Source organism: Homo sapiens, chromosome 2, assembly GCF_000001405.40.
Source record: "Homo sapiens chromosome 2, GRCh38.p14 Primary Assembly".
In the NCBI taxonomy this organism is placed as follows: Eukaryota; Metazoa; Chordata; class Mammalia; order Primates; family Hominidae; genus Homo; species Homo sapiens.
Window position 1 is genome coordinate 164597029 of NC_000002.12, and position 26723 is coordinate 164623751.

At 38.6% G+C, this 26723-nt stretch overlaps 1 protein-coding gene across 4 annotated transcripts in view; it reads right to left on the minus strand.

The window, feature by feature from the left end:
- The window catches only part of GRB14 (growth factor receptor bound protein 14), a 129066-nt gene extending 104612 nt beyond the window's left edge, over positions 1 to 24454 (minus strand). For all 4 annotated transcript variants that reach the window (XR_427085.4, NM_004490.3, XM_047444014.1 and 1 more), the window contains exons 1-2: positions 24091 to 24454; positions 22659 to 22791 (exon numbers count right to left, since the gene is read on the minus strand). Coding sequence is in view for 3 of the 4 variants with exons in the window: in NM_004490.3 (NP_004481.2) it covers positions 22659 to 22791; positions 24091 to 24281 (324 nt within the window). In the remaining variant the exon portion in view is untranslated. The remainder of the gene's footprint in view (positions 1 to 22658; positions 22792 to 24090) is intronic.

Here is a 26723-nt window from a genome sequence, read left to right on the forward strand (position 1 = left end):
TAGTTAATTGACCACATCAATCCATAACATTACACAGTTCCACTGTTTGGTTGTATCCCAAGAAGAAAATTCCTCAGCATCATGAATATCAGTGAAAGTGAATTCAGTGAAACACGATCAGTAAAAGTGAAAAATAAAGCTAAAAGAGAAAATCAACAGCAAAATTTGACTTTATAACCTCACATACACTTACCATATACAATATACAAACTAGAAACACAGGCAATGTGCAAGGATTTACAGGATGTCAAAATAATTTTCAGTGCATTTCACCCTCTTTCATAGTGCAGATATATATTAATAAAAAGAAGCTGTAGCTATAATATTTAATTTGCACAATAAATACTGCTAAGCATTTCAAAATTATGTGATAGGGATTATAAAGAAAAATTAGATGTAGCCCCTCCTTTCAAATGCCTATAATCTAGTAGGAACACTTACAATTTGTCTTATTTATACAAGCAACAAAGATACAGAGCAATGCCACTCACTTTCCCTAAATCTAAAAATAAACTGAGGAATTTAATTAACTATACTAGCTAACAATTCTCGAACCATTAAAGAAGCTGGGTTGATTTTAAGAAAAATAAGACAATGGGTAGAGAAGAAGAAAGGCAGGGAGAAAAAGAATGGAGGGAGGGATGCAAGGACAGGAGGAGGAGGAGAGGGAGACAGAAGGAAGAAAGGAGTGAGAGAGAGGAAGAAGGAGGAGGAGAAGTGGGAGGAGACAAGGAAAGAGAAGCAAAAAATAAAAACACTTTCTTAGTTTTAGAAACAGGAACATAGGGAAAAATGGAAATACTTCATCCTGTTCTCTAATGAGTTTCAAAATTGATACCTTGGAAAGAGGAAGCTGTTGGGCAGATAGAAAGGAAAGCAAGTAAACCAGTCCCTAGGATACTTAAAATAGGGAGCGGAGGGGAATCACCAAGAGCTGACTTGAACTAAGAAATTTAACCAACAAGAAGTCCTGAACCATGCTGTTTCTTCACCAAGCAGAGGACATTCTCTCACTGCATTGAGACCCTAGAACCTTCTCTCCCTTCATCCTGAAGCCTAAGAAGACATCTTCTGCAAGCTGGTCCTGAGAGCAAGATATACGGTGCTATCCTCCATTGCTCAACAAACAGGAAGTCCTTCTGCCAAAGCCAAATAAAGGGAAGGGTTGGACTGATGGGTCCGTAGATAACAAGTTGGCATTCAGAAAGCATTTCCTCAAAGAAATCTGATAATTATGGTGATAACTTCAAGTACTATACTTTAGGTATGTTAGGTATTAAATTGAATTTTGAATAGCATTGTTTCTATGGGAAAATGCATTCCAAGCTCCCAAATTTACCACAGAATTTTTGGCATACAAATTGCCTAAATGTTGTGATTGTTTACATATGATAGCATACATCTGTGCACATGATTATTTTTCTAGTATCTTTTACTATATTTGAATGTTAAATTAAATGTACAATTACACTGGAATGTAACTTTTTATAATCGTTTACATAGGACAAAATTGTTGGGCAGGGTATTCCTGGAACCTGGTATTTTTGAGACTGCAAAGTTCTTTCTGGCATGGTAGGAGGTCTTCAGGTGTCTCTAGGCTATATTTATTGGTCTTCGCTTACTAGTTTTAAAGTAAAAAATTCAACGATCTTACAGGATGTTCTAAAGGCAAGGGCAACAAAGTCAGATAAGAGTCCTAACAGTGACCATAGCCATCTAGATGACCTTGAGCATGCCACTTCATCTCTCTGGAAAACAGTTTTTCCCTATAAATGGATGTGGTTAAATAAGATGTTCTCCAAGTTTCCTTCCAGTTGCCACCATCTACTTTTCTCTCCAGAACTTAGCCTGTGTTATGGATCTCTTATTATCACACTAACAAACTGCTCCAAAACAGTGTCTTAAAACAATAACGCTTACGTTACATCTCATGACTTTGTGGAATTGGAGAGAAGGGTTTATCTAGGCAATTCTTCTGTTCTACATGGTGTCAGTGAAGGTCACTTTCCCTAAAAGGCACGCAGCTGGTGTAGGAGCTAGTCTAGACCATCCAACCTTGCTTTACCATCGTGTCTAAAACCTTGGCAGAGATGGCTGAAAAGATGGGAGCAGCTGAATCTACACATGGCTTCTCCAGCACGGTGCCTCGATATAGTCAGAGAGGGCTCAGATAAGGTAGCTCAGGGTTCCCAAAGAGAGTATTCTAAGAAACAGGAAATGGAATCAAAGCCAATCAAAGCCTTGGACCAGAAATGGTCACACTATCACTGCCAAAGTATCGTATGGGTAAAATAATCAGAGCCTTCCAAGAGGATAGGACATAGATTTCCTCTCTCAATGAGAAATGTAGTAAAGAATTTACAACCATCTTTAATCCACCACAGACTATATCTAGGAACTGACACCAGCAGTGACACTCATTACTCTATCCAATGTTTCATAGCAGAAACTGAAGAGATAAAAAAGAATAAGGAACAGTCGCTACCTTCAGAAAACTTCACAGTTTGACAAAAAGAATGACAAAGTAGGCAGTGCTTTTCTGATTAACCAAGCTCAAGTTTATTTATTCTACTGTAACTAATAGAGAATTGATAGAAGCATATATGGGAAAATGCTACCTAAAAAGAACAAGTTTTAAAGAAAGTATTTGCATATGCACTAAGTCTGGAAGGAAGGAGGAAAAATAGCATATTATGATGTGAATGACATATATCTTCAATTCTCAGGCAAAACACTATAAAATATTACACAACAAATCATCTGTAGAAGATATCTGTCTGTTGTAGATTTATAATCAACTAGCACTTTTGCATATCAGAATCTTAATTCTTATGACTAAAAAAGAAAAGACCCAACATAGAAGAGATGCTACTTAGAGCCACTGTTTATAATGTAATGCGAAAACACGAAGAAACCAGAATAATTTGAATACATGTCTAAATTATTAACTTATAAAAACTTCACATGATCCTTACTTAAATAAGTTTCAGCAAGTCATATTTCTTTAATAGTCTAAATTAAATTGATAATGCAACCTAGAATAATTCAAACTAAAACAATCAGGTCACAGGTTCCTTGTGTCATTTAAAGCATGCACCCTCTGCTGTATGGATTTGGAACTATCCACAGACAAAACATATTTAAACAGCGCCCCCCTGTGTGATCTACTTCAGCAACCACTTTAGGAGTCATAGAGAAAGGGCAATTCCCGTTGCCATAGAGGTTGTTTGTTAAACAATAAATATACTTTAATTTTAAAAGCAATGCAATTTAAAATTCAAGCAATTTCTAATACCTTTGAGATGAAGCAAACAGATGTAGACAATGGTTATCCTTTAAAAAATTATAGAACTTCACATATATAAAGCATGTGGATGTATGAGTAATAGCTCCTCCTGTATTGATTGACCACTCCTTCTGTAGGAGAAATGTCATTATTTCAAACCCTGATTCAATCAGATTATATCAGGGTTTCTTCAAAAGTGGTATAGAGTCAAGCTGCCCCAGAATTATAAGAATCTCCCGGCAGGTACTTGTTAAAGGTTTTAATGTTTCAGCCTATGGAAATAGAGTGTCCAAGGATGAGACCCAGGGATCTGCACTTGTATCAAATACTCTAAGCATGTGATATGCCCACTGGGGTTTGAGAATTGCCATCCTAAAGCATTACATGTAAAACAACTTTTCTAAGATGGAAGGATAATTATATTGACAAGTAAAATAAAGATTTATTAATTTCTTTTTTTAAATGGAATTTAATTCAATCTCTAAATACTTAAATCATTTTTGATTCCATGCTTTTAAGACCCAGTATTCTCTGCACTGATATTTATAGCCCCACATTTATTATAATGATGAGTATTTGGCTTGCTAATAGTGACCACACAACAGCAGGACCAGTCCATTGCCAAATCTCTACCGTCTCTGCAAGTGACCTGGGTTCTTTCCAATGGAAAAAAAAAAGGTTGAGAAAATACATTCCTCTCCACTTCATCTACTTTGTCCAATTGTTCTCTAGGCCACAGGGCAGAATTTTTACTGACTTAAATCTCAGTTAAATCCCAGACAAGGATCTGTCAATGAAAGTTAATTTTAACACCCCAGAGTACAGCTAAACTCTTTCAGTAAGAATACATCCTGATCTTAGAATGATCCAATTTCCCTAGCAGTTTCTGAAAGTCATTCAAAATCTTATAAATTGAAAATAATAATAATAATAATAACGACAATGATTTCTGACATTTTCTGAAACAATAATACAAAGGATTTTTGATATTTCATAAAGGCAGTATACCGATACCATAAGAAAAACACTATGGAGGTAGAGGGAGATCAGAACATATTAAGGTTGGTTTCATGGGTGGTGTAAAGGACAACTCTTTTTATTGTTTTCACTATATAAACATCTACAATACTGAAAGCACAGAGAAGGTATTTTGAACGTAGTTTCTAAATAGAATTCTACCTGTGAATTTTGTGTTAGATAGGCAGGGCTGGGATTGAAATCTGAAAATCTGGGTTCAAGTCCTGGCTCTCTCAGGCATAATCTGTATATTTAACCCTTGATCTTTGACCCTGTGTTTTTCCATCTGCAAAACTAGGACAAAACTAAGGATTCCATTTATTACATTCAGATATTAAAAGAATAAAAATAACATATTTGAAATTATCTTAGAAACTGTGTCATCATTAATATAAAGGTACGATATATGCACCCTTATAAGCCAGTGAAAGAGAAAATAAATCACACTACTTTACAACTGCAGACCTTCACAATTCAGGATACAATCTTAACAGTTTTGAAGAACTGTTTTTCCCAAAGAAGTAAAAAATATTTTTATATTTAAATTTTGTTTAATTATTATAATTTTACATATCTAGAAATAAACTAATCAAGTCCAAGGTAACATTCAGTGAAAGGAAACTTTATATAAATCTAAAACCGGTTCTGCTCCCTTCAGGCACACTGGTTATACCATGTAAGAGTAATGTATCAGAGACGCCCACCTTTGGAATTCTACTCTGCAATATTATCCATAGTATAGGCCTGGCCTATTTATAAAACAAAACACTTTTTGTGTGTCTCCAAATGTATTTTTAAATTTAAAAAAAAAAAAAGGAAAGGAGGGAAGGGAAGAGAAGGGAAGAGAAGGGAAGGGAAGGGAAGGGAGGGGAGGGGAAGGGAGATTAGGAGTCTGCAAACCTTGCCTCTGCCACTTCCTATCTCTGTAATTTTAATCAAGTAATACAGTCTTTCTTTTAACTCTTGAATGAAGACACTAACATCTTCTATACCTATGAACATATAAGGAAATGATGAGAGAGATGATTACTGAAATTACCAAAATTCAATAATATCTTGACATGCTGGAATAATAGGTCAAAATTGAGATTTACATAGGGATGGAGACAATATCCTGAAAAAAATGTGCAATTATTTTTTTCCTTACAATTACAGACAAACTTGGTTTACACGTACTTCATAAGAAAGCATTATAAAAGGATTTTATTGATTATAAGCTAATGAGCTCACTATCATTGAAAATGCTCAAGAGGAGATTATACAGATGATCATCTAACAAAGATTTTAAAAATGAATCCTACTCTAGGTGAGAGTGTTATCTGAAACTTCAGTTCATTCAGCAAGTATATACAGAAGACTTAGTATGTGCCCGGCACAAGGCTAGAATCCAGAATCCAAGCCAACTGATCCCTATTGCCCCCAGAGATTCCTGGATTGTGGAACACTAATAATGTAATGTAATTGACCTGGTAGATTATCCCTAAGCAGGGCACCTAACATATATCTATTATGGGAAGAGAAGACTCTTGCAGCTGAGTCTTCAAAGATATGTTATTTGAAGCTAGCTATTTAAAGATTAAGGAAAAGAGATATGCAGGAAGATTGAACATCTATCTCATGTAAAGACCAAAGTCAGGTAAGAAAAAGAAAGACATTGTACAAAACTAAAAAAAAATTAAGTGTGGTCAAAGCACAGAGTATGAGATGGAAAGGATTAGAGGCATGATTAGAGAGGTGGTCCAGCTGTATAGTACCTCAGGGTCCCATTTAAATCAGTATCTGAAGAGTGAGGGGTATTCATGGAATGGTTTTAGGAGTAAGATAATTTGATTAGCCATTTAGCATTATTGCTTCCACCTATGAAAAGGGGAACTTAATACATGATGAAAAAATGTTAAAAAGCTTTGGGAAAAGAAAAGATGATTAATAAGTGGTGCTAGTATGAATGGATGGTCATTGGATAAAAAATCAAATTCCTATCCTAAAAAAATAAATTGTGCTATGTCAAAAACCCAAGTGTGTAAAGTAAAACATAAAAATGACTACATGAGGCCGGGTGCGGTGGCTCACACCAGTAATCCTAGCACTTTAGGAGGCTGAGGCAGGAGGATCACCTGAGGTCAGGAGTTCGAGACCAGCCTGGCCAACATAGTGAAACCCCGTCTCTGCTAAAAATACAAAAATTAGCTGGGTGTGGTGGTGGGCACCTGTAATCCCAGCTACTCTGGAGTCTGAGGCAGGAGAGTCACTTGAACCTGGAGGCAGAGGTTGCAGTGAGCCAAGGTCGAGCCACTGCAATCTAACCTGGGTGACAGAGTGAGACACCACCTCAAAAAAAAAATATATATATATTAACTCGACGAAAAAATATTCAGGACAGAGAGGGAAAAATTCTTAAATAAGACACACAAAAGTACAAAACTAGATTTAACTAAATTAAAACAAAAATATTCTGTATCATAAGAAACACTATAAACAAAGTTAAAGCAAGTCACAATTACTGAGAAAAGATAATTGCAATGTTTACAGTTGCAAAAAGATAGCTATCAATACCATATAAAGGATTCTTACAAGTCATTTTAAAAAATGCAAACAATGCAACAGAATAATACAGGTAATTCACAAAGAAGAAGTAAGAATGGACAGAAGCAAATAAAAAGATGCTCAACCTTACAAATAATCAAGGTAATGCAAATGAACACAGTAATTAAATCTCATTACACTCACCACATTGGCAAAAACTTTAAATTCTGAAAATACCAGCTGTTGATGAGAAAGTGTGGAAATGGAGACGCATATAGTGCTGGTGGGCACAACCACTTTGGAGAGCAATTTGGCAATACCTAGTAGAACTGAACATGCACCTGTCTACAGCCAAGCAATTCTACTTCTAAATACATACAATAGAGAAACCCTTGCACACAGGCACAAGAATGTATATTATAGTGTGGTCTTTAATGATGGAAATTGAGAAATTCTCAGTTTTCTTCAATGGGTAAACAAAAAATTGTGGTACATGCATACAATGAAATAAAATTAAAATAAGTGATTTATATTTATTCATATGGATTAATCAAAAATGTCAAACGAAAACAAGTTGCAGAGATAGACATACAATATATTTTTAAATAAATCATTAGGACACATTATAGTATTATATGTGTAAAGGCATAAAAACATGGAAAGAAAGGATACTCACCAACCTCAGAACAGTGTTTCCCTCACAGCAGGAAAAAGGGGAAATAAAATGGGATTGAGAACAAAGACACAAAGCAGAAGCAATCATGTATGAACAATCTCTTCTTTCTTAAAAAAAAAAAAAGTTAGTTCTCTAACTGTTTGGAATTACTTCACGGTGAGAATCCTAGTATTACATTCAACAACATGGATAAACTTCCAAAACAGGCTGAGTGAAAGAAACCAGATGCAAAAGGTCACATACTATATGATTCCATTTTAATGAAATATCCATAATAGGTAAATCCATACAAACAGAATGCAGATTTGTGGTTGCGAGGGGCCGAGACGGAGAAGAGAATGGAGAATGTCTATTCAATGGGTATAGAATTTTCTTTGGGGGCAATGAAAATGTTTTGAAACTAGACAAAGGAGATGGTGGTACAACACTGTGGATGCACTTATGTCAGTAAATTGTAAATGCCAGTAAATTGTAGATTTGGGAATGGCTAATTTTATGCTTAATGAATTTTATCTCCTTAATAAAAACATGTAAGCATACAACACCTCTAGGAGTAGAAAACTACTAAAAATAGAGTACCAGTGAGGAGAGTCTCAAAGTAATTATGTAAGAGATGATTTGACCTGAGCTGTTGCAATAGCAGAGAAGTTTTGAAAAGTGGATAAATCCAAGAGTTGTTCTTCCCAAAGGACTTGGTACCCAACTGGATGAGGAGAGAGAAATAAAGAGGAGCCAAAGAAGAGCTAAGATATCTTATTTTCTAGTACAGGAAGAGTATATTCTATTTCCAGGGAAGGAAAACATGAGAGAAGAAGCAAGTTTAAGAGGAAGAGTATTCACTTGTTTTGGAATCTGCTGAGTTTGAGATGTCTATGGACCGTATAAATGAAGATATCCAACAGGCAGCCCAGTATACAGATCTAGCCTAGACTTACATGCACACTGCAATTGAGGCCGTGGAGGTAGATGAGATCATCCTGGCAGTAAAATGAAAACAAGAAGTTCTAGGACAAAACCCTAAGGAATACCAACACTCAAATCCTACAACAGAACCTTTAAGAGGCAGAAGTCAAGAAAGTATTTCAAGAAGGAAAAAGTAGTCAAAATGTCTAAAACTGCTCAGACATCAACACAAAGACTCAAAAGTAGGTCTTCAGGAATAAGGTGGTCTTCAGAGACTTTAGTTGAGAGCTATTTCCTGCCAAGCTGCAGAAAAGTAAAGTAGGAAAATAGTTCAAATGTTTAAAACCCAATATCTTTACTGGTAGTGATATAGATACCAATAAAATCAGAGAAGCTCTAGAAAGGACTATGGCTAAAGAATAAAGAGATATCCAACCCTCATGAGAGTCACAAGGAGCCACTTCCCACAGAAATGAAAACTACACTAGCACTTCTCAAATGTTTCCACCAGAGATACCCAACATGCAAAAGAAAGTAATTGTACAGCCTTTGCCATCTCAGGGTAAGAATATCTGAGGCGTATAATTTGTTCTTAAAAATTCATGCACATTATGTATTCTACTCATAAATACAGGAGTGTTTATTTTAATATAAGAATGTTTTTCCCATATTTTCAATTAAAGTTAACGTTCCAAAAAGGTGTTCCATGTTTATCATGCAACTTCCCATATGGCCCTCCCACAATCCCCACACATCCCATATGCATATATGCATCTTATACTCCCACTTTGAGAAATATGGAGGAGGTCCATCATTCCACAAGAGTGATTGCCCCTAGAAATCCCTTTTAGAAATCATTTGCCACGACACAATACCCATAAGCCCCTACATGATGTGTAATCATTTCTTCTTTCAATTTTTCTTAAAATTACATCCTTCAACTTTAAAAGTATGTTTCAGATATCATGGAACTTGGCGGGTAAATCTGTATTGAAGAGACTTTCATTACGACTCCTCTTTGTCTTTCTTGACTAAAGAGTCAATTAATTTATAAAGTACTTTATACATGGAGGTTGACCCAATACCTTTAAATATTTAGTCATTTTTCTCTGAACCTCTTCTATATCTTTCCCAAGGTGCAGGCATGGTTTTGTAAAGGGCCCCTTAGGCTTCTGGGACAAAGGCAGATTTCGCCTAAATGAGGTCATTAAAACAAAACATCAAGTTCCCAGTGCCCTAAGATTCCAAGCCAATGACCTACAGAGTGTTCCAGCTGATCTTAATTTCCTTGGCACAGCACAGTAAGACTACTGTAATATAATGCAAAATAGCTCTAAAGAGAAACTAGATACTGGCTAGAGTCTTGCCAATACACAGTTAAATAATACCAAAGTAGCCCTTTCATCTGAATACTGTGTTTCACACGCATATGTCACCCTTCCCAGGAATGAAAGTAATCTTCCACTGTGAATGTGGGTTGATTGAAAAGCTTTTACTGGACTCAGCCCTATAAAGTATGCATGCTTTTTAACTGGCATACATGGGCTGCTAAGACTGAAAATGCTTACAAGGGAACCAAAGAGACAAAGAACAGAACCCATTCTGACCAAGGGTAATCCAAATTTAGAATGTGCTTATAGTGGTAAATCAATACTCAAACATTTATCCTGACCAGGCTCTTTTTTAACATCAAACAATATCAGACTCTTCCTGGAAAATAAACTAAATTTCACTTTTCAAAGTTTCTTTACACATTTGATATCATTTATATTAAAATATCAGTACGTTTCCAAATATTCTCTCCCTTAATAACAATGACTTCCCAGCTCTTTATCCATTCATTTCTCCATTTATTTATTCTTTCATTCAGCAAAAATTTACTGAGGGCCTGTGAAGTGCTAGGCATAATTCTACATGCTAGAGATTGAATAAATAAAGCTTACTCAATTAACAAATAGTTCCTGTCTTCACAGAGCTTATGTTCTACTGGGAAAAGGCAGTAGATGAATCCATATATATGTGAACATAACACATGTCAGATAATAATAAATGCTAGTTAGAAAAATTAATCTGAGCGAGGGAGAAGAGGAAGCACACAGGTGGTGGAAGGCAATGTTAATCTTTGAACTCCATCAGAGCTAAAATAATCTTTAATAATCTGTTAACCAGCAAATCAGTTAAGGACCTCATATAATACAACTGAAAATGACAAATTAGAAACCATCTGACTTGATAAAGATTTGTCACCCAGATTCATTCATTTTATCAATTTCTGGATAGTTTCAACAAAGCTTTACCATCAACAAAGCTTTACCATTAGCCATTAATGATTTTTTACCCTTCAACTTAAATGTACTTTGTTCAAATTAATACACTCGGAAAATGTGTTAATTTTATCATACCTTGGCCAAACCAAAAGTACGAGGCTTCTGCATGATTGCTTTCCAATTTTTTTCCTAAGATGCTTTTGTCTTATAATGTGTCTTATATATATGTTCATCAAAAGTTTAAGGCTTCAGATTTAGTTTCTAAAGAAAAATGTCAGCCATATAATTGGAAAGTTAATCCTCACTCTCAAAAGCAATTGGCCAAATCAGACTTATATTTTATCAAATAAAGCCCAACTTTACTTTTCAATTCAAATTAGTTACATTTTGGCCAGGCACAGTGGCTCACACCTGTAATCCCAGTACTTTGGGAGGCCGAGGCGGGCAGATCAACTGAGGTCAGGAGTTCAAGACCAGCCTGGCCAACATGATGAAACACCATCTCTACTAAAAATGCAAAAATTAGCCAGGTGTGGCGGCGAGTGCCCATAATCCCAGCTACTCAGGAGGCTGAGGCAGGAGAATCGCTTGAACCCAGGAGGTGGAGGTCGTAGTGAGCTGAGATCACCCACTGCACCCCAGCCTGGGCAAAAGAGCGAGACTCCCTCTAAAAAAAAAGCAAACAAAGTTAAATTTTGAGAAAAAAAAATTTAAAACACTGAAAAATAAATTATGAATTGTATCTTAGAAGAGAAATAGCTGAAAGCAGTCAAAATTAAAGTAATACATTGATGGTGCCTATCTCATATCAACTAGGAACAAAGCAAAGTAACCCCTTATATATCCCAGTAGCCAATGCCTCGTTCATGCCTTGGACAAATGGAAAAAAAGAAAAAAGAAAAAAAGTTAAATTAATACAGGACTAAGAGTTCTGGGGAGTATGATGAAGTGCTAGGAAGTACATAGAATTCCTTTGGCAATTGTGTTACTGTACATTTTCACCATTGGGTTTCAGCTTTTGGATATAACTAAATAAAAATCAAGTATAAAATTAGAAATAGTTCTATTAAATGTAGTAGTCACCATGACAAATATTTCTTATGTTTTTCAGGAATGCAAACGGTACATGCACATTAAAAAATAAATAGTCCAGTAGCTGGCATATCATTTTTTAGGTATTAGAAAATATTAAAATATTTTATGATAAAATAGGATGGGAATTGACTGGAATTGGAATAAAGAGTTTATCGTATGATTTGCCAAAATAGTAAGTACAATATTGAATAACACACACAAAATTTGAAAGAAATCATGTATATGTTTTATTCTTGAGTTTTAACCAATTTATCTTGAAAACTTTGGTAGTCCCCAAAATGATTTCTATTAACATTTTAAAAGATCAGTTACTAACTATGGCAGATACTGTGGCACAACATCCAAACCCACCTCCTTCAAGACTGAAGCACTCATTCTCCCAGCTGTTAGAGTATCAGCCACTAAGACTTGTGGCTAAGGCCTCCTTGACTGCCATTGCACTATGCTAAAGAAAGCTGCCATGCCCAAGTTCTGACATTTCCTAGACAGCCCAGCACCTGTGCCCTAATTCTGAACAATTCTGTAGGGCCAATCCAGCTCCAGAGCTCTCCTACGGGATCAACTGGACCTTTGCTGTGGCTGTGCTGCAGCCCAACTTCTCCCTGTGTCCATTCCTACAAGTATTGTTTCCACGGGCTCTCCCCAGCAAACTTCCTGAAGGCAAACCTGTGCTCCAAGTCTACTTCCCAGGTAACTTCACCAGCAGCACTAACCTATATCATATCAGGTGTTTGTACGTGCATTTTCTTTCAGCTTTTATAGGATTTCTTTGCATTTATAAATACATATTTATTATATAAATTACATAAATTCAGTGCTTTTATAGTATTTCTTTCAGCATCCTATACATATGTATCCAGAATAGCAGATAGTACATTTAAATATATGACAAAAGGCCATTTCAGCAATCAATATTTCTCACTGATGCACTCCTTGCTTTGCTCTTAAGAAGTTATCCCTCAAGGGTTATTATATATTCTTTGACAACAGTCAGGACATGGAAGAACTGAAGTCAAAAACTGAAAAATGAAAATTGTGATTACTTCATCACACCATCATCTATCTGAATTCAAAATATTTCAACACTGGTCAAAATCCTCATTTCCACCATGATTCACCCTTAACAGAAAGAGGCTTAAGACATTAAAAAGGAACTCCTTCTTATTTGTGATGCTTTGATTAATCACTAAAGGAAGCTTTCCCTGTGTGTGATGCCCTGGATGTTTACACGCCCCAGGGTAATGCACCAAGAGGAGCTTACTGGGAGCACAGGTGGGTTCTCAGGAAGTGAAAACTGATTCTCTTAAATCTATGTTTGACAACCCTTGGAAAGTCTTCATGTATTTTCAAAGGGTATATGTCTCCCCACTTCCATCTGATGAACACTGACCTAAATAATTCACCACTGATATTAATTCTTAATAATTAAAACATTTGCTAGCATATACCTCTTGCTCTGAGAGACTCATACTATAAACCTAACTAATATTTCCACTTAATCTTTTCTAAAGCTGTGGATCTTATGAACACACAGTAAACTTAAAGAAAGTATAGCAGTTCACTGGGCACTCACTTATAATTATACTATATAAAAAATAATGTATAAAATCAGAAATATCTTGATTACACGGATCAAATTTTCATACGTGTTAAATGAAAGCAAAAGATACGTACTTTTAAAATCCACTTAGTCCAGGATCTAGATTCAATTTTATTTTTGCATTACAAAGAAATAATTGTCAAGAAAAAATTTTAAAAAATAAAAATATAATTTATTTTGGTAAATAGAGTCTGTTAATCAAATTTAATTTTATTCTAATTTAATGAAGATGACTGAAAATGATTAGAATAAACATGTCAAAATATAATTTGTTAAATTAGTTTTAACTATGTATCTTCAATAATCCATTTACTCATTCATTCTTTCCATGAAATAACCCAAGAACAATAAAGCCAAGATAATTCACATAGAGGGAAAAAGAATAAAACAACTAGACCAAATAGATAAATGAGACAATTCGGATTATGGTAAGTGCAGCCAAGGAAACAAACTGAGAAATGTGATGGGAAAAAAAAATTAAAAAAAAAAAAAAAACAGGCTACATTTAGGCTGGTCAAAAAAAAAAAAAAATCTCCTGGATGAGATGACCTTATACTGAAATCTAGAGAATAAAGAGGAATCAGGTATGTCAGGAGCCAGGGAAATAGGTTCCAGACTCAGAAAACAGCTACGATAAAGCCTTGGAGATAGAAAAAAAAGTTTGCTAAGTTCACAAATAGATAGGACTGTGGCTGGAGTCTAATGAACAAAGGGTAGAATGTACATGAGGTTTAAGAGGTAGCCAGGGACAAAGCCATGGAGAGTCCTGTCAAAGGAAGAAATGTGGATTTCATTCTAAGGTATTAAAATTTTTTAAACCAGGAAATTACATGCCGCGATTTACCTTTCTGAAAGTTCCCTATAACAAGTGTATGTAGAATGAACCAAGATAAGCTAACACAGAAGAAAGGAGGCCATTTATGGGGCTCCTGTAGGTGAGAAGACAATGGCTAAATTAGGATGGTGGCAGCAGAGATGGGGAGATGTATATAGATTCAAGCCTACTTTGATGAAAGATGAAGCAGTACTTAACAAGAACAGAAAGTGGACTCCTTAAATTTTGGCTTAAGTAATCAAATAAATGATTTGAGGGTGGAGAAAGATAAATTTAGAGAATTCAGAGGTTACGACCACCCCGTACCTATTAAACCAAGTAGAGCCAAATGTGTATTGGACCTATGCCGGCCTCAAGTGGTCACATCTTATCTCGTATCCTTATTTCTAAGTTTAGATGCTTGGTCCTGTACTTTAACTTCACCACTTGAGCTGGCTCCTACTAGATGTGATTCCTTTTCTGATTCTTCTTCTAATATTTGAACTATGACTTTGCTGCAGTTTCTAGTTTAACCAGACCCTTCTGCCCCAATTATTTCCATGAATGTGACTCCTGTGCTCTTTGTCCTATGACACCCCAAACATACTCTTTATCACAAAAAAGTGTGGTCACTATATGGGAATACCTGAACAGAGGCTAAGAGGGAGCTTCTAGGGCTAGTGGAACAAAAGAAACCCTGCTTTCCACGACTCCTGTATCTGCTGCACAGGAGCCATTACTGCTTCTGGAGCCATCAGAATCACTTGCTCTAGGAATACAATAAAATTGTAGAGCTCTCAGGTACAGAAAGGGTGAGCAATGGGCTGATATAACACCCCTCATCTGTAGTAGGACTGTATTAAAAACTAGGTTTGCTGATTCCTGTTCCAATATCTTTCAGTCACATCATATTGACACATCTTTCCACAGAAGCAATTTTAAAAACGGTACACGCAATGTTGTAAGAGCACTATACTTTGGAGCCATTATGGATTTTAAGGCTTTGGCCTGACCACCTAACCACTGCATGTAACAATACGTCTATGGAAAAATGTATGTGAATAAATGGCCAATTTATTAAAGATCTTCTGGAATACAAGCATTTGTAAGCTGGTTAAGAATATTAAACCTCCTATTTGTGTTTATTTTTTCTGTGGCTTTGAAAAAATGTTAAATGAGTGGGCCAAAGAAAAGGACAAGAATTAAAGGATGGTCTCCCTATGTCAGTCCTGCCATTTCTCTTCTAAATTAATCCTGAACCCTTTCTTTCTACTCCCTTGCCTTGGCAAAGACTTGTGGCCATTCTCTGGGGTCTCCCTTGAGCTGACCTTTATCTGTAATGTCAAAAGGACAATTCTCAGGTCTGCTTACCACCATTGAAATACACATAAGCATATACTTATACAATAGAGTTTATTACTATTTGACATAAGCTGACGTTTTTTCAAAGCAATATCCATAAGACTGCAGAAATCTTTTTTATATTAATTAAAATCCACACTTATATTGAACCATGATGACTCCAATTTTCTTTCTCTTGACAGAACATATTATATGCCCCAGGGAAAAACAAACCAGAAGCTGAGATTTCAATAACGTTAAAAAGAAAACCCATATTGTAGATAAAGCTTGGACTGCAAATGTACCCTGCAAATTAACCAAAAATTAAAGGCAACCTTCAAACTAGAAATAAAACCTTGACAAATAGAAGATCTGCTAGGGGATTTAAGTTTTAAAATAGGAAAAGAAAGCTAACTTCTCCTACAATGAAGGTAACTAGCATAAGGTGGGAAGGAACCTGAGTTGGTAATTCCTGTCATCAGGGGTTAAGGGACCTCAGTAAGACGTAAGCTCAGGAAAATGGACAAGGAAGCTGAGCATCCCTGAAGGGTGACATCAACTGAAACAACTGCCCAATAAGTATGCTTCACGTACATTAAGTGAATTGAGACAAAGGAGCTGAACACTCTGAACTGGGTACGTTAAGTCAAATAAACCAATTGGTGGATCATCATATATCATACAAATATGATTAGAATTAGTTTTTGTGTCCTGTTTGAGATCTTTTTTTTCCCCTAGGACACTAGCTGCCCCTAGGACATAGTGCCTCCATATGCCATACCTACTAAACCTGTACCTCTTTCTCACATGTTACCACACCCTTGCAGACTGAACAGTGGTCCAGGGCCCACTGTCCCCTTGGCCACATCTGATTGAATAGGATCTGGACACACTGGACTAACATACCTCTCCAGATACAGTTCCCAGTCAGTTACCAAGTACTGAACCACTAATAGGTGGAAAACTTGGGAGCAGCCACTTGAGGCCGCTGGCACTGACATGAAATCAGGGCAAGCAACACTGCAAAGAAATCTCAAAAATGATGTGAATTTGCAAGGAGAGGCAGAGACTATGTGGTATGTTTGTGGGAGAACAAAAGAGAGAGAATAGAGAAAGTGGTTGACTTGATTTTTGCTGACTTTCTTGCTCCCAATTTCAGCCTCTCATGAGACCAGTGACCTTTTGGCCTTCAGGTACTACAACACAGCCTTTCAGGCTGGTTCATTTGAGGCTCTGTTTTGTCTGAACAATCAATACCTGGCTAAAATACCAACTAAAGGCCATTTGTAACATACTCACCTTTGTCAACAAAACACAACTGTCCTCAGTTTTGAAAGGTCCAATTGCCCCAGTTTGAAAATGGTAGAGATTAAGAGTAGCACTGATTTGTATACATATCAAAGAGAAAAAAATATAAAAAATCAAATTCCTATAACCTCCCCCAGAACATTCCTATTCAGTGGGTTTTGCAAGAGGTCCAAGTATCCATATTTTTAATAAGCATCCCTGCTGATTCTGAAGAAGGTGATTTAATGACCACACTTTGAGAAGCGCAGCTGTAAAGCCTGCTTCAACACTGCTACAAAGATCTGCACGCTTTCAAATTCTCCCAAAAAATTATATTCATCAAGTGACAGCACTCAAAAGTAGCAAATTGCCGTTGGAAAGATAGATTTGTTTGAAACCCTAATAGGAGAGAGTATTGTTTCTATCATTCTTTCTGCATATATGTTTTGTTTCCAATTAAATGGGATTTTGTAAAATAGCTCAGAGGGCCTAAATACAATTTATGATGTTGTTTCCATCTAAAAATGAATTTAAACTTCCAAAGAGCTAATTTTCAGACATTTGAAAGCTAAGCAGTTTGTAATTTGAGAATTTCATGAGCCATTCCAACTGAGAAAATTCAATTATGAATGGTTTTAGACGATATCAAGGAATTGCTGTTATTTATGTTAGGGAATAATGGCATTTGGGATATAAAAGAAAATTCATTTTTCAGAGATGAATACAAAACTACGTAGAGATGCAATGATGGGGTGTCCAGGATATACTTCAAAATACTTTAGCAAAGAAAATAAAATTTTTAAAAAAGAAATAGATGGAGTAAATGAGGCAAAATCTTGATAATTGCTGAGTCTGGAAAAACTACAATATGTACATGGGTTTCTCTTCTTTTACTTCTATGTATACTAGAAAAATAAGTATATGAAATTTCAGTTAATGTAGCAGCCACACAAGATTCCTATAGGACCACACATACAAGTTCAGCATGTCCAAAGTGGGGTAATTACTGGCATCACAAAGGAATGATATAAGAGGCCCTTTAATTTGGGGACAGAGATCTGCTTATCCTTTGAAAGTCCGTGACATGGTAGAGAAAAAAGAAATAAAAGGCCGAGCATATGGAAAACTAATTTTTTAATTATTTGAGATAAATTTTTATTTTTCTGAGACATACAAAAAAAGGCTTAATTTAATAAAGAATACACTAGAAACAGTGTGGTAAGGGACAGGACACATTGAGACATGATACTCTTTTTGATCTCCCTTTATTTAAACTGTGGAAGCATGGGCAAATCCCTTCCAGTTTTTGCATACTCTTTTTGTAATCTTAAAATGCAGGTGACATACTCATTTTCTTGTGTTCCCATGAAATAATATCCTGTGGACCGTAAACCACACACAAAAGCTGGTTATTAATAATACTAATAAATCTTATTTGATAATAAAATCAAATATTTGATAGATTTCTCAGACCAATTTTAGGGAGAAGATGGAGAAGAAAGCTAGAAGAAAAAACGTAGTTACATTTCGGGAAGAAATAAAAAGAGGAATTCCAGGTCCTTAGATGAATATTAACAAATGGCGTTTGTCTCCCCTGTTCTTCTTGTGTTATGAGGAGAGTTGTAACTAACAACACTGGTACACATGTATTATTATACTACTCTTATTTACAGTCCTTGCTTTCTTTAGAAATTGTACCTTCCTAAAAAGGGACTGTCAAAGCCTCAAGAAATCCAGATTTCAGGTGCTGGCTGTGCCACATAGCATTCCTTAAACTCAATTTACGTATCACTAAAGAAGAATATTGGAATAGAAGATCTGAAAAATCCCATCCAACTCAAACATTTCATGACACTGGTTTTCATAGCATTTTTTAAATCTCTAAAGCCTTCAGAGGCTTTATTCTTACTTAGTTGTACAACATAGTCCTGGGAAGCAATTAACCAGAGCTACTACACAGGCTATGTCCAAGCACAAAAATTACCTAGGGGTCAACAAAAAAGACAAGAACTGATTCTGCTGCAAGAGCTAAATAAAGATTTCTAACTCTTTGCTTTCCTTCAAACAATAGGTGTTTAGGGTTCATTACTAACAGATGATTTCCTTATAAATTTAAATCATAAATTAGAAAAAAGAGATTAAGTTCATAATGGAAGTCACTTTTAATATAAGTAACTTTTCTGGACCATGTATGTAAGGGAAGGTATACTTTAAATTTGCTTTATTAGTAAACACAAAGAAAGATGCCTAGGAAATCTGGCCATCATTATAAAAAGAGGGAAAGGGAATAAAGAATATGAATTCTCGCGGGGCACAGGGGCTCATGCCTGTAATCCCAGCACTTTGGGAGGCCAAGGCGGGTGGATCATGAGGTCAGGAGATGGAGATCATCCTGGCTAACACGGTAAAACCCTGTCTCTACTAAAAATACAAAAAAAATTAGCTGGGCGTGGTGGCAGGCACCTCTAGTCCCAGCTACTCGGGAGGCTGAGGCAGGAGAATGGCATGAACCCAGGAGGCAGAGCTTGCAGTAAGCCGAGATTGTGCCACTGCACTCCAGCCTGGGCGACAGAGCGAGACTCCGTCTCAAAAAAAAAAAAAAAAAAAAAAAAAGAATATGGATTCTCTCTCACTCTAGCTTTCATTTAAAAATAATGGTACTGAAAGCCTACAGTATTGTACACTTTGGGACATTTTATTTGCAAAAAGTGATAAAACATATCCCATTTGTGGCTTCAATGCACTTTACCACTCATGCATTATGTAGGCATCTCAAATAGTAAACAAAATTTATGACTTGTAAGATGGTTTTTGACTGTGATTTTGAAAGGCCAGATGAAATTTAACATTTTTAGTCTGGATTCTCTCAAATTTTCTGGTCATTGATTTGTAAATAACAAGTACAATTATTTTCTTCACTTTTTCTGTGGAGAGAAAAGAATCACTAAAATGACTGGAATGGTTAAACAGGACAAATGAGAGAGAATATAAAGTAAAGAGACATCTTCTCCTATAATATTTCAACCATAAATAATACTCAGTAGAACATATCGCATAGTCACTTACATCATCTCAACTGAAGGTTACAGATAAACTGGGCCAAAAACAGCATCTTGTAAAAGGGTAATATGTGTTGCAAAGCTACTGAGTTGGGGGACTCACTTACATAGAGTCATCTATTCTCAAAACCTTCCTCATTTCAAAGAACTGAGTGTGTATAAAGAAACTAAAGCAAAAGGATCAGTTCTAAATGCAAAGTCTAGGTGGGGGAAAAAGGAAGCATAAAATAAAGTAAAAAGCAGCCTCCCTCCTCCTCAACTTTGGGGTACCCTTGTCTTCATAGAGATCTCAACCATTGGGCCAAGGAAGAGATCAGCAAGAAGGGCCCTTCAAAGGTAGGGACAGCCCTCTGGGATGGATCTTTAAAAATCAGGCGGGGACTCTCTGCTCAGGGAACAGTACAGGTGTGTGTGTGGGTACAGTGTTCTTTGAGAAGGTCATTGTGGACACAGGATACAAGGCCAGAGCAGGAAACCTATTGGGGTCAATAACAATATCACCTTTTCCCCATTTCCAGTTTGCTATTTTTTTTTTGCCCATTTTCCAGTTTAAACCTGATCTGAGGAAATGTCATCAATCTCTAAGACGTCTTACTCTAGTCTGATGACTATCCACACTTAGGGCACATCCTGCCTTAACCCTGGCACTTTACCCATTCTTTCTCTTTTGTCCCCTATACTAACATAAGCATACCAACACCTCTTCTCACTTTCTATTCAAAACAAACCCTGCATCATCAACAAATCTCTCAGACACAGGCATTCTGCAAGTGTCCATTCATAGCATTAAAGTGAGTCAGCCCAGATATCCTTCCCTTTACTTTCCTTCTGGTTCAGGCTCCACCCGCTACCACAACCCCAAATCAAAGCCCCATCTTTTAAATATATCTTGCATGGTATTGTTGCTTAGCTAGGGTCCTTACTGCCTAGGATTTGTGAGAAACATAGCAGGCCCTTAGTAATTTGGGAACTACCTATTAAATTCTTCCAGATGACCATTATGTCATCATCAGACATTTCCTTTTCTTACTCTGGCTCAAGGACAAGCCAGAATCTTTTTTTTGGGGGGGGGGGGGTAGTGTCAGCGGGGGACAGATTCTCGCTCTGTCGTTCAGAGTGGAGTGCAGGGGCACAATCTCAGCTCACTGCAGCCTCCGCCTCCTGGGTTCAAGCGATTCTCCTGCCTCCGCCTCCCGAGTAGCTGGGACTACAGGTGCAGGCCACCACACCCAGCTAATTTTTGTATTTTTAGTGGAGACGGGGTTTTACCATGTTGGACAGGATGGTCTCAATCTTCAGACTTCGTGATCTGCCCGCCTCAGCCTCCCAAAGTGCTGGGATTACTGGGATTACAGGCGTGAGCCACCGCACCCGGCCTCTTTTTTTTTTTTCCACTACCATGGCACACAGTCAAATCTATTATCCTTACTTCCATTTTCTATCCAAACCAAAAAGTCAACTCTCAAAGAGCTTGGAAGTTTCACTAGGGCTGTTTTTTCCTTGGGATCTGACTTTAAACCTCATCCTGATAATAAAGGTCTCAAGAGAGTCTCCTCTTTGTCTCCCCAAACAAAGTTACAGTCCCACCCACTTAAGGGTTTATTCCCCCTTTCAAAGATGCCAATTCAGAACATAGTTCTGCTTCTAGAAAAATTTATTCCCATTTTCTCCAATCCTTACCCAAAAACCTGTGTACCAAGTGACTTCAAGCCCCTCCCCCCAAAAATATATACACAGGGCTTCCATCAAACATATTTCCTACTGTCTCTATCATTTCTGTATATGATCAATAATTCATCTGCTTCCTAAGGTATTTCCTCCATTCCTAAAAATATAAACACACATAGTTGAACCCATTAGAAGCAATAAAGGTGCAGAAATAAGAAAGAGAGCAATAGACGCGGAAAAATGGCCAACTGTCTTGTCCTCGCTGTTCATTATCCTTCTCCCATTTCAAGTACCTGGCTATTTCAATGTATTGTTTCCACCCTTGTAAGAATAAGGTGCATTTTGTCTAGTGAGGCTTCTCTTTGTTTTGCTGGGTCAAAACTGGGAGAAAGTATATGACAAGAGATGAATTATTCTATGATACACTATTTTTTTCCCCTCCAAATGTACAGCCATGATGTATTTTCTGTTAGTTGCTTGGTCCTTAAAATCTAATTTGCTTAAGTCAATCCCAAACTAGAAAAGGAGAAAATCATAAAGATATGGTCCTTAGTCTTCTAATTATCACTACGAGTCATCTATCTTCTGCAGCCAGAGCCTCCAAACTGAGGAATCCACTGAAATGAAGACATGTTGACCCTAAATTCTAAATACCTTTTGCCACAGCATCACTATATCACTTTCCTTAGGTAAATGAGGTTGGCTTGGGTTGAAAATGTGAAAAATTAAAGAAAGTATTAAAGGAATCAGTCAATCCCCTTCTCACCCCACTACTACTGCCCACCCCGTCCCAGCCTCTGCCCAATTCCTGGCTTAAAAATGATCATCTCTTCTACCTATCTGGTGAATGATTATTGTTCTCAACCACTGCACTTTATATATATTCTCTGTTTTAATCCATCCCAAGACCCTCGGAGGTAGGTTTTAACATTCCCATTATACGGCTTAGAAGAATAAGGCCCTAAATGGAAAATAATGCCAAAGGACCATGTCAGTCAACAGAGTTATTTAACAGAGCCCATGCTAATCCTTTGTTAATACTGTAAATTACGGAACACCTTAAAGACTGTATGGATTCAGAACTCCTAAGATTTTTGAAATTTAAAATTTAAAAATGCATACCTGTTTTTTCCTTGAATTTGCTTTGGGAAATAGGTCTGCTGACAACACAGATGTAAATGGAGAACAGCATAGCTCAGGAAAAGGGTTTGGAATAGATGGCATTTCCGGAACATCAAGATCTTTCTTTTTTCTCCTACAGTAAGAGAACATAGGATGTAATTTACATAAAACAGAATGTAAAATATAATTGCTGTCAGGAATAAAAAGTGTGCTAAGGCGAACATGTACCACTCTGTGACAAGGCTCATATTATATAAAGTATATAGAAAAGGTCTGTGATGTACTTTCTATGGGTCAAAATACAGTATGTTAATTAGATACAAACAAATCTCCTATAGTTCCTCTCTTTCTGTCTCTCTCTCTCTCTCTCTCTCTCCCCTCCCACCACCCCTCCCCCCCCCACCGCCTTCTCTCTCTCTTGCCTTTAAATCACCAGGCATAGAAACTCCATCACTTTTGATAATTTTCCTGAAACAGAAAAATAGACTATACAATTACTAATCCAAACATCACCTGAGAAGTCATACATTGTTATGCATCCATGATATTGACAGTCTCTAAGTTGCATTTAGTGCATTCATCCTTATGATATTTTACTAATCACTTTTGGAAGTTATGATTTATTAATTATAGCTGTGGTTCATCTCACTTCAAATTTCATTCACAATGTTGCCCACACACAGTCTGTTGATTTTTCAAGCGCTTATAGATATTAAACAGCAAGGCAGTGTTTTGAGGCGGTAAGTTAATAGAACTTGCTAGTATAAATGTACTATAGTCCACTGGAGAGTAATTTTAACTTCACTGAAGTTGGAGCGCTTTGAAAATCAGGAAAAAAAAAGTAACATTTAAATGTATGAATATAAAGGACTATAGATTTTTGTATTGCTGTAACCCTTTTTCTTTCCGAAAGTATGTGCAACTCTAAAGGCACTTAGTGCTGAATGCTATGGAGATTGGGAAACCCTTTAAAGCCTCTATTCTTTCCTGCCGAACAGCAAGACTGCTCGAATGTCAATCCATGCTTTGCTTCTACAGGGTCGCTGTAAGACTCTATGTGGGAGGTGAATACATTTATGCTACGATTTTTTTAAAATATATAAAATAAAATAGAGTTTACTTTGTGAAAATGCATGGCCACGAAGGAACAGAAGGTGATCAGCCTGCAGCCTGAGCTCCTAGTTTCACCACCGATGGGCAGAGGCGAGAGAGATGAGAGCTCTCAATGAAACGGTGATGCTATTTATAAGGCGCTGTGAGATCGCAATGTCCTGCTGATCCGGTAGGAGCCAGCTCAAAGGGGATTGTCTTCAGAGACTTTTACAAACTTGGCCCAGCTCTGGGCACATGGCTCACCCCCTAGGACCGCCTCCTCACCCCCTCGCCGGCTGCCCAGCCAGGACACTCCCCCGCGCCCTCCAGGGTTGCCTACCTGTCTGCAGCACAGCCGCGGGTCCCGTCCGGAAGGGGCAGGAGCGCTCGCGCGTGCAGCCAGGGGGCCGGCGCCAGGTCGTGGGCGTCGCCCCTCCCCTGGGCAGCGCCACACACCTGGGCGGCCAGCGGCGAATCCCGGGCAGCCGCCCTGCTCGCGGCGCTCTGCCCATCTTGCAGGGAAGTGGTCATTGTCGCCGGCCGGGGGGCTCGGGCGTCATGGGAGACTCGGCGCGTGGGGAGAAGGGGTTTGCGCGGCGGGAGGCGAGGTGCCGGCTAGGCAGCCCGAGCGCTCTGCAGGTGTGGTGGCCTCGCCGCCTGCGCTCGGGGCCCCGGCGGCTGAGACGCGCGGCCGAGCTATCTGCGAGGCGGCGGGGGAGGGGAGGGGGCGGAGGAGGAGGGTGGGGAGAGGGGAGGAGCGGCCGGTGGGTGGGGGCCGCGGGCGGCGAGGCAAGGCGCGGAGGGGGCGGGGAGGGCGCGAGAGCGGCTGGCCGGCCCCGCGCGTGGCCCGGGGCGCTCGGGGCCACTGGCATTGCTCCCGCGCCGTCCCATCCGGGACGCGAGGCCGGGACCGCTGCCTCCTCAGGTGGGCACCGGGGCGCGAGGCTGAGCCCAGGGTCTGGGCGGCCCCGGCGCCGCTGGAGGCGGGGACCCAGCCGAGCGGGCGCTCCCGCTGGGCTTGCCGGGAGGACCGCAGGCGGGATAGGGGTCCGCGCAGCCCTGACCCTCATACCCTTGCATTCTTTCTGCTCTGCCATCTGAGATCACCTAAGCTGTTGCTGGGCCGCCATGACAGTCCCCACCGGGCCAGGAGGCCAGGACACCAGAGGGTTTGCCCCAGTCCTTCCCCACGTGCCTCTTCTTCCATCCACTCCGCAGCCAAAGATTGGGGGGTTGATAGGGAGCAAGGAGTCCAATCATTATAGAAAACTACTGAGATTTTGAGAATTCTCAGTAAAGCATGAGTAAACCTGAAGGTGTCTGGAATTAGAAAGACTATTAGTTTTATGGTAATGAGAGAAGCTTACATTAATGAATTCCAGGTTGCCTTACGCTACCTATTCCATCCTCTCAACAGCTCCATAAATTAGATGTTTATCTCATTTTACACAAAAGGAAACTGGGGCTCAAAGCCATCGAGTACCTTGCACTAGTAACATAGCACTAGTAGCTGGTGGAGTCAATATTCCAACCCAGAAGCTTCCTTCTCAAAAACCCAGACTGTTCGAAATAGTAATGACATTATTATGCTCACCCTCTGAGATGCAGCAACCCTACTCTGAAATGCTGGGTGATCCTGTTTCTGCTCTTCCAGTAAGTGTGCCCGTCCCTATGCACCGTTGAGGATTTCCAAATGTTTCACAGGGTCTTTGTTCTTTGACCAAATTAGGTAATATCTGTCCCTGGCATCTGCTTTACCAGGTTTTCTTAATTTCAACAACCTCTGCCCAGGGAAAGGTAAACACTGCCTCCAGAAGAAAGCAGCAGCTCCCCTCCCCCATCTCAGTGCATTCTCTCCCACCGAGGCACCGACCACTGGAGAACCCAGGGGTCACTAATTCCCAACCTGTGAGGAAACCTGGGGCACTCCGTGAAGACAGAAAATCCTTGAGTCACAGTTCAGGGAATCCAAGTTCTTTATTTTCCTAATGTCAAAATTAAGGCCCAGAAGTGACCTGGGTCACAGCGGGTGTGATCTCTGGGATCTTTTATACCAGGGGTCCCCAACCCCTGGGCCCTGGACCACACCATACCAGTCCATGGACTGTGAGAAACCAGGCCGCACAGCAGGAGGTGAGCGGCTGGTGAACCAGCATTACCGCAAGAGCTCTGTCCCCTGTCAGATCAGCTGGGCATTAGATTCTCATAAGAGAGCGAACCCTATTGGTGAACTATGCCTGCCAGGGATCTAGGTTGCTCCTTATGAGAATCTAACAAATGCCTGATGATCTGAGGTGCAACAGTTTCATCCCGAAACCATCACCCCCACCCCATCCGTGGAAAAATTTTCTTCCATGAAGCCGGTCCCTGGTGCCAAAAAGGTTGGGGACACTGCAGTTTATACAATACTTTGGCTAAGCTAGGACAAAATGGTGATTCTCTTTCTCAGGAAGAAAATAATAATACTAATCATGGTGATAACTAACATTTATTGACACATGTGCCAGACAAAGCCCTCACTCACATCCAGTTCTCTGAATTACAGATTCTATGCCTGAGTTTAAGTGAATTTAATTTAAAAGCATACAGATATACTGAGGTTATTCCAGCAAAAAACAAATGAGGTATGTAGTTGCAGACAACTTGAACTAAAGAAACAAAGAAATAAGTAAACTTTAATCATTAACATCATTATCCCAATTTTATCCAGAACTCTTGCAGGCAGTCACTTCTTCTAAGAATAATATAGTTGAGCACATGAATTAGTGGCTGAAGTTTACACTGTCTCCACTCCCAACAACACTCTCTCTCTATCTCTCCTCCTCACCTCCTCTCTCTCTCTCACACACACACACACACACACACACACACACGGCGGGGGTGGGACAGAGAGAGAGAGAGAGAGAGAAAGAGAGCACACTTTTGATTTTTTTTTTTTCTTGGGGAAAGGGATAGGTGGAATCTGTATATGTC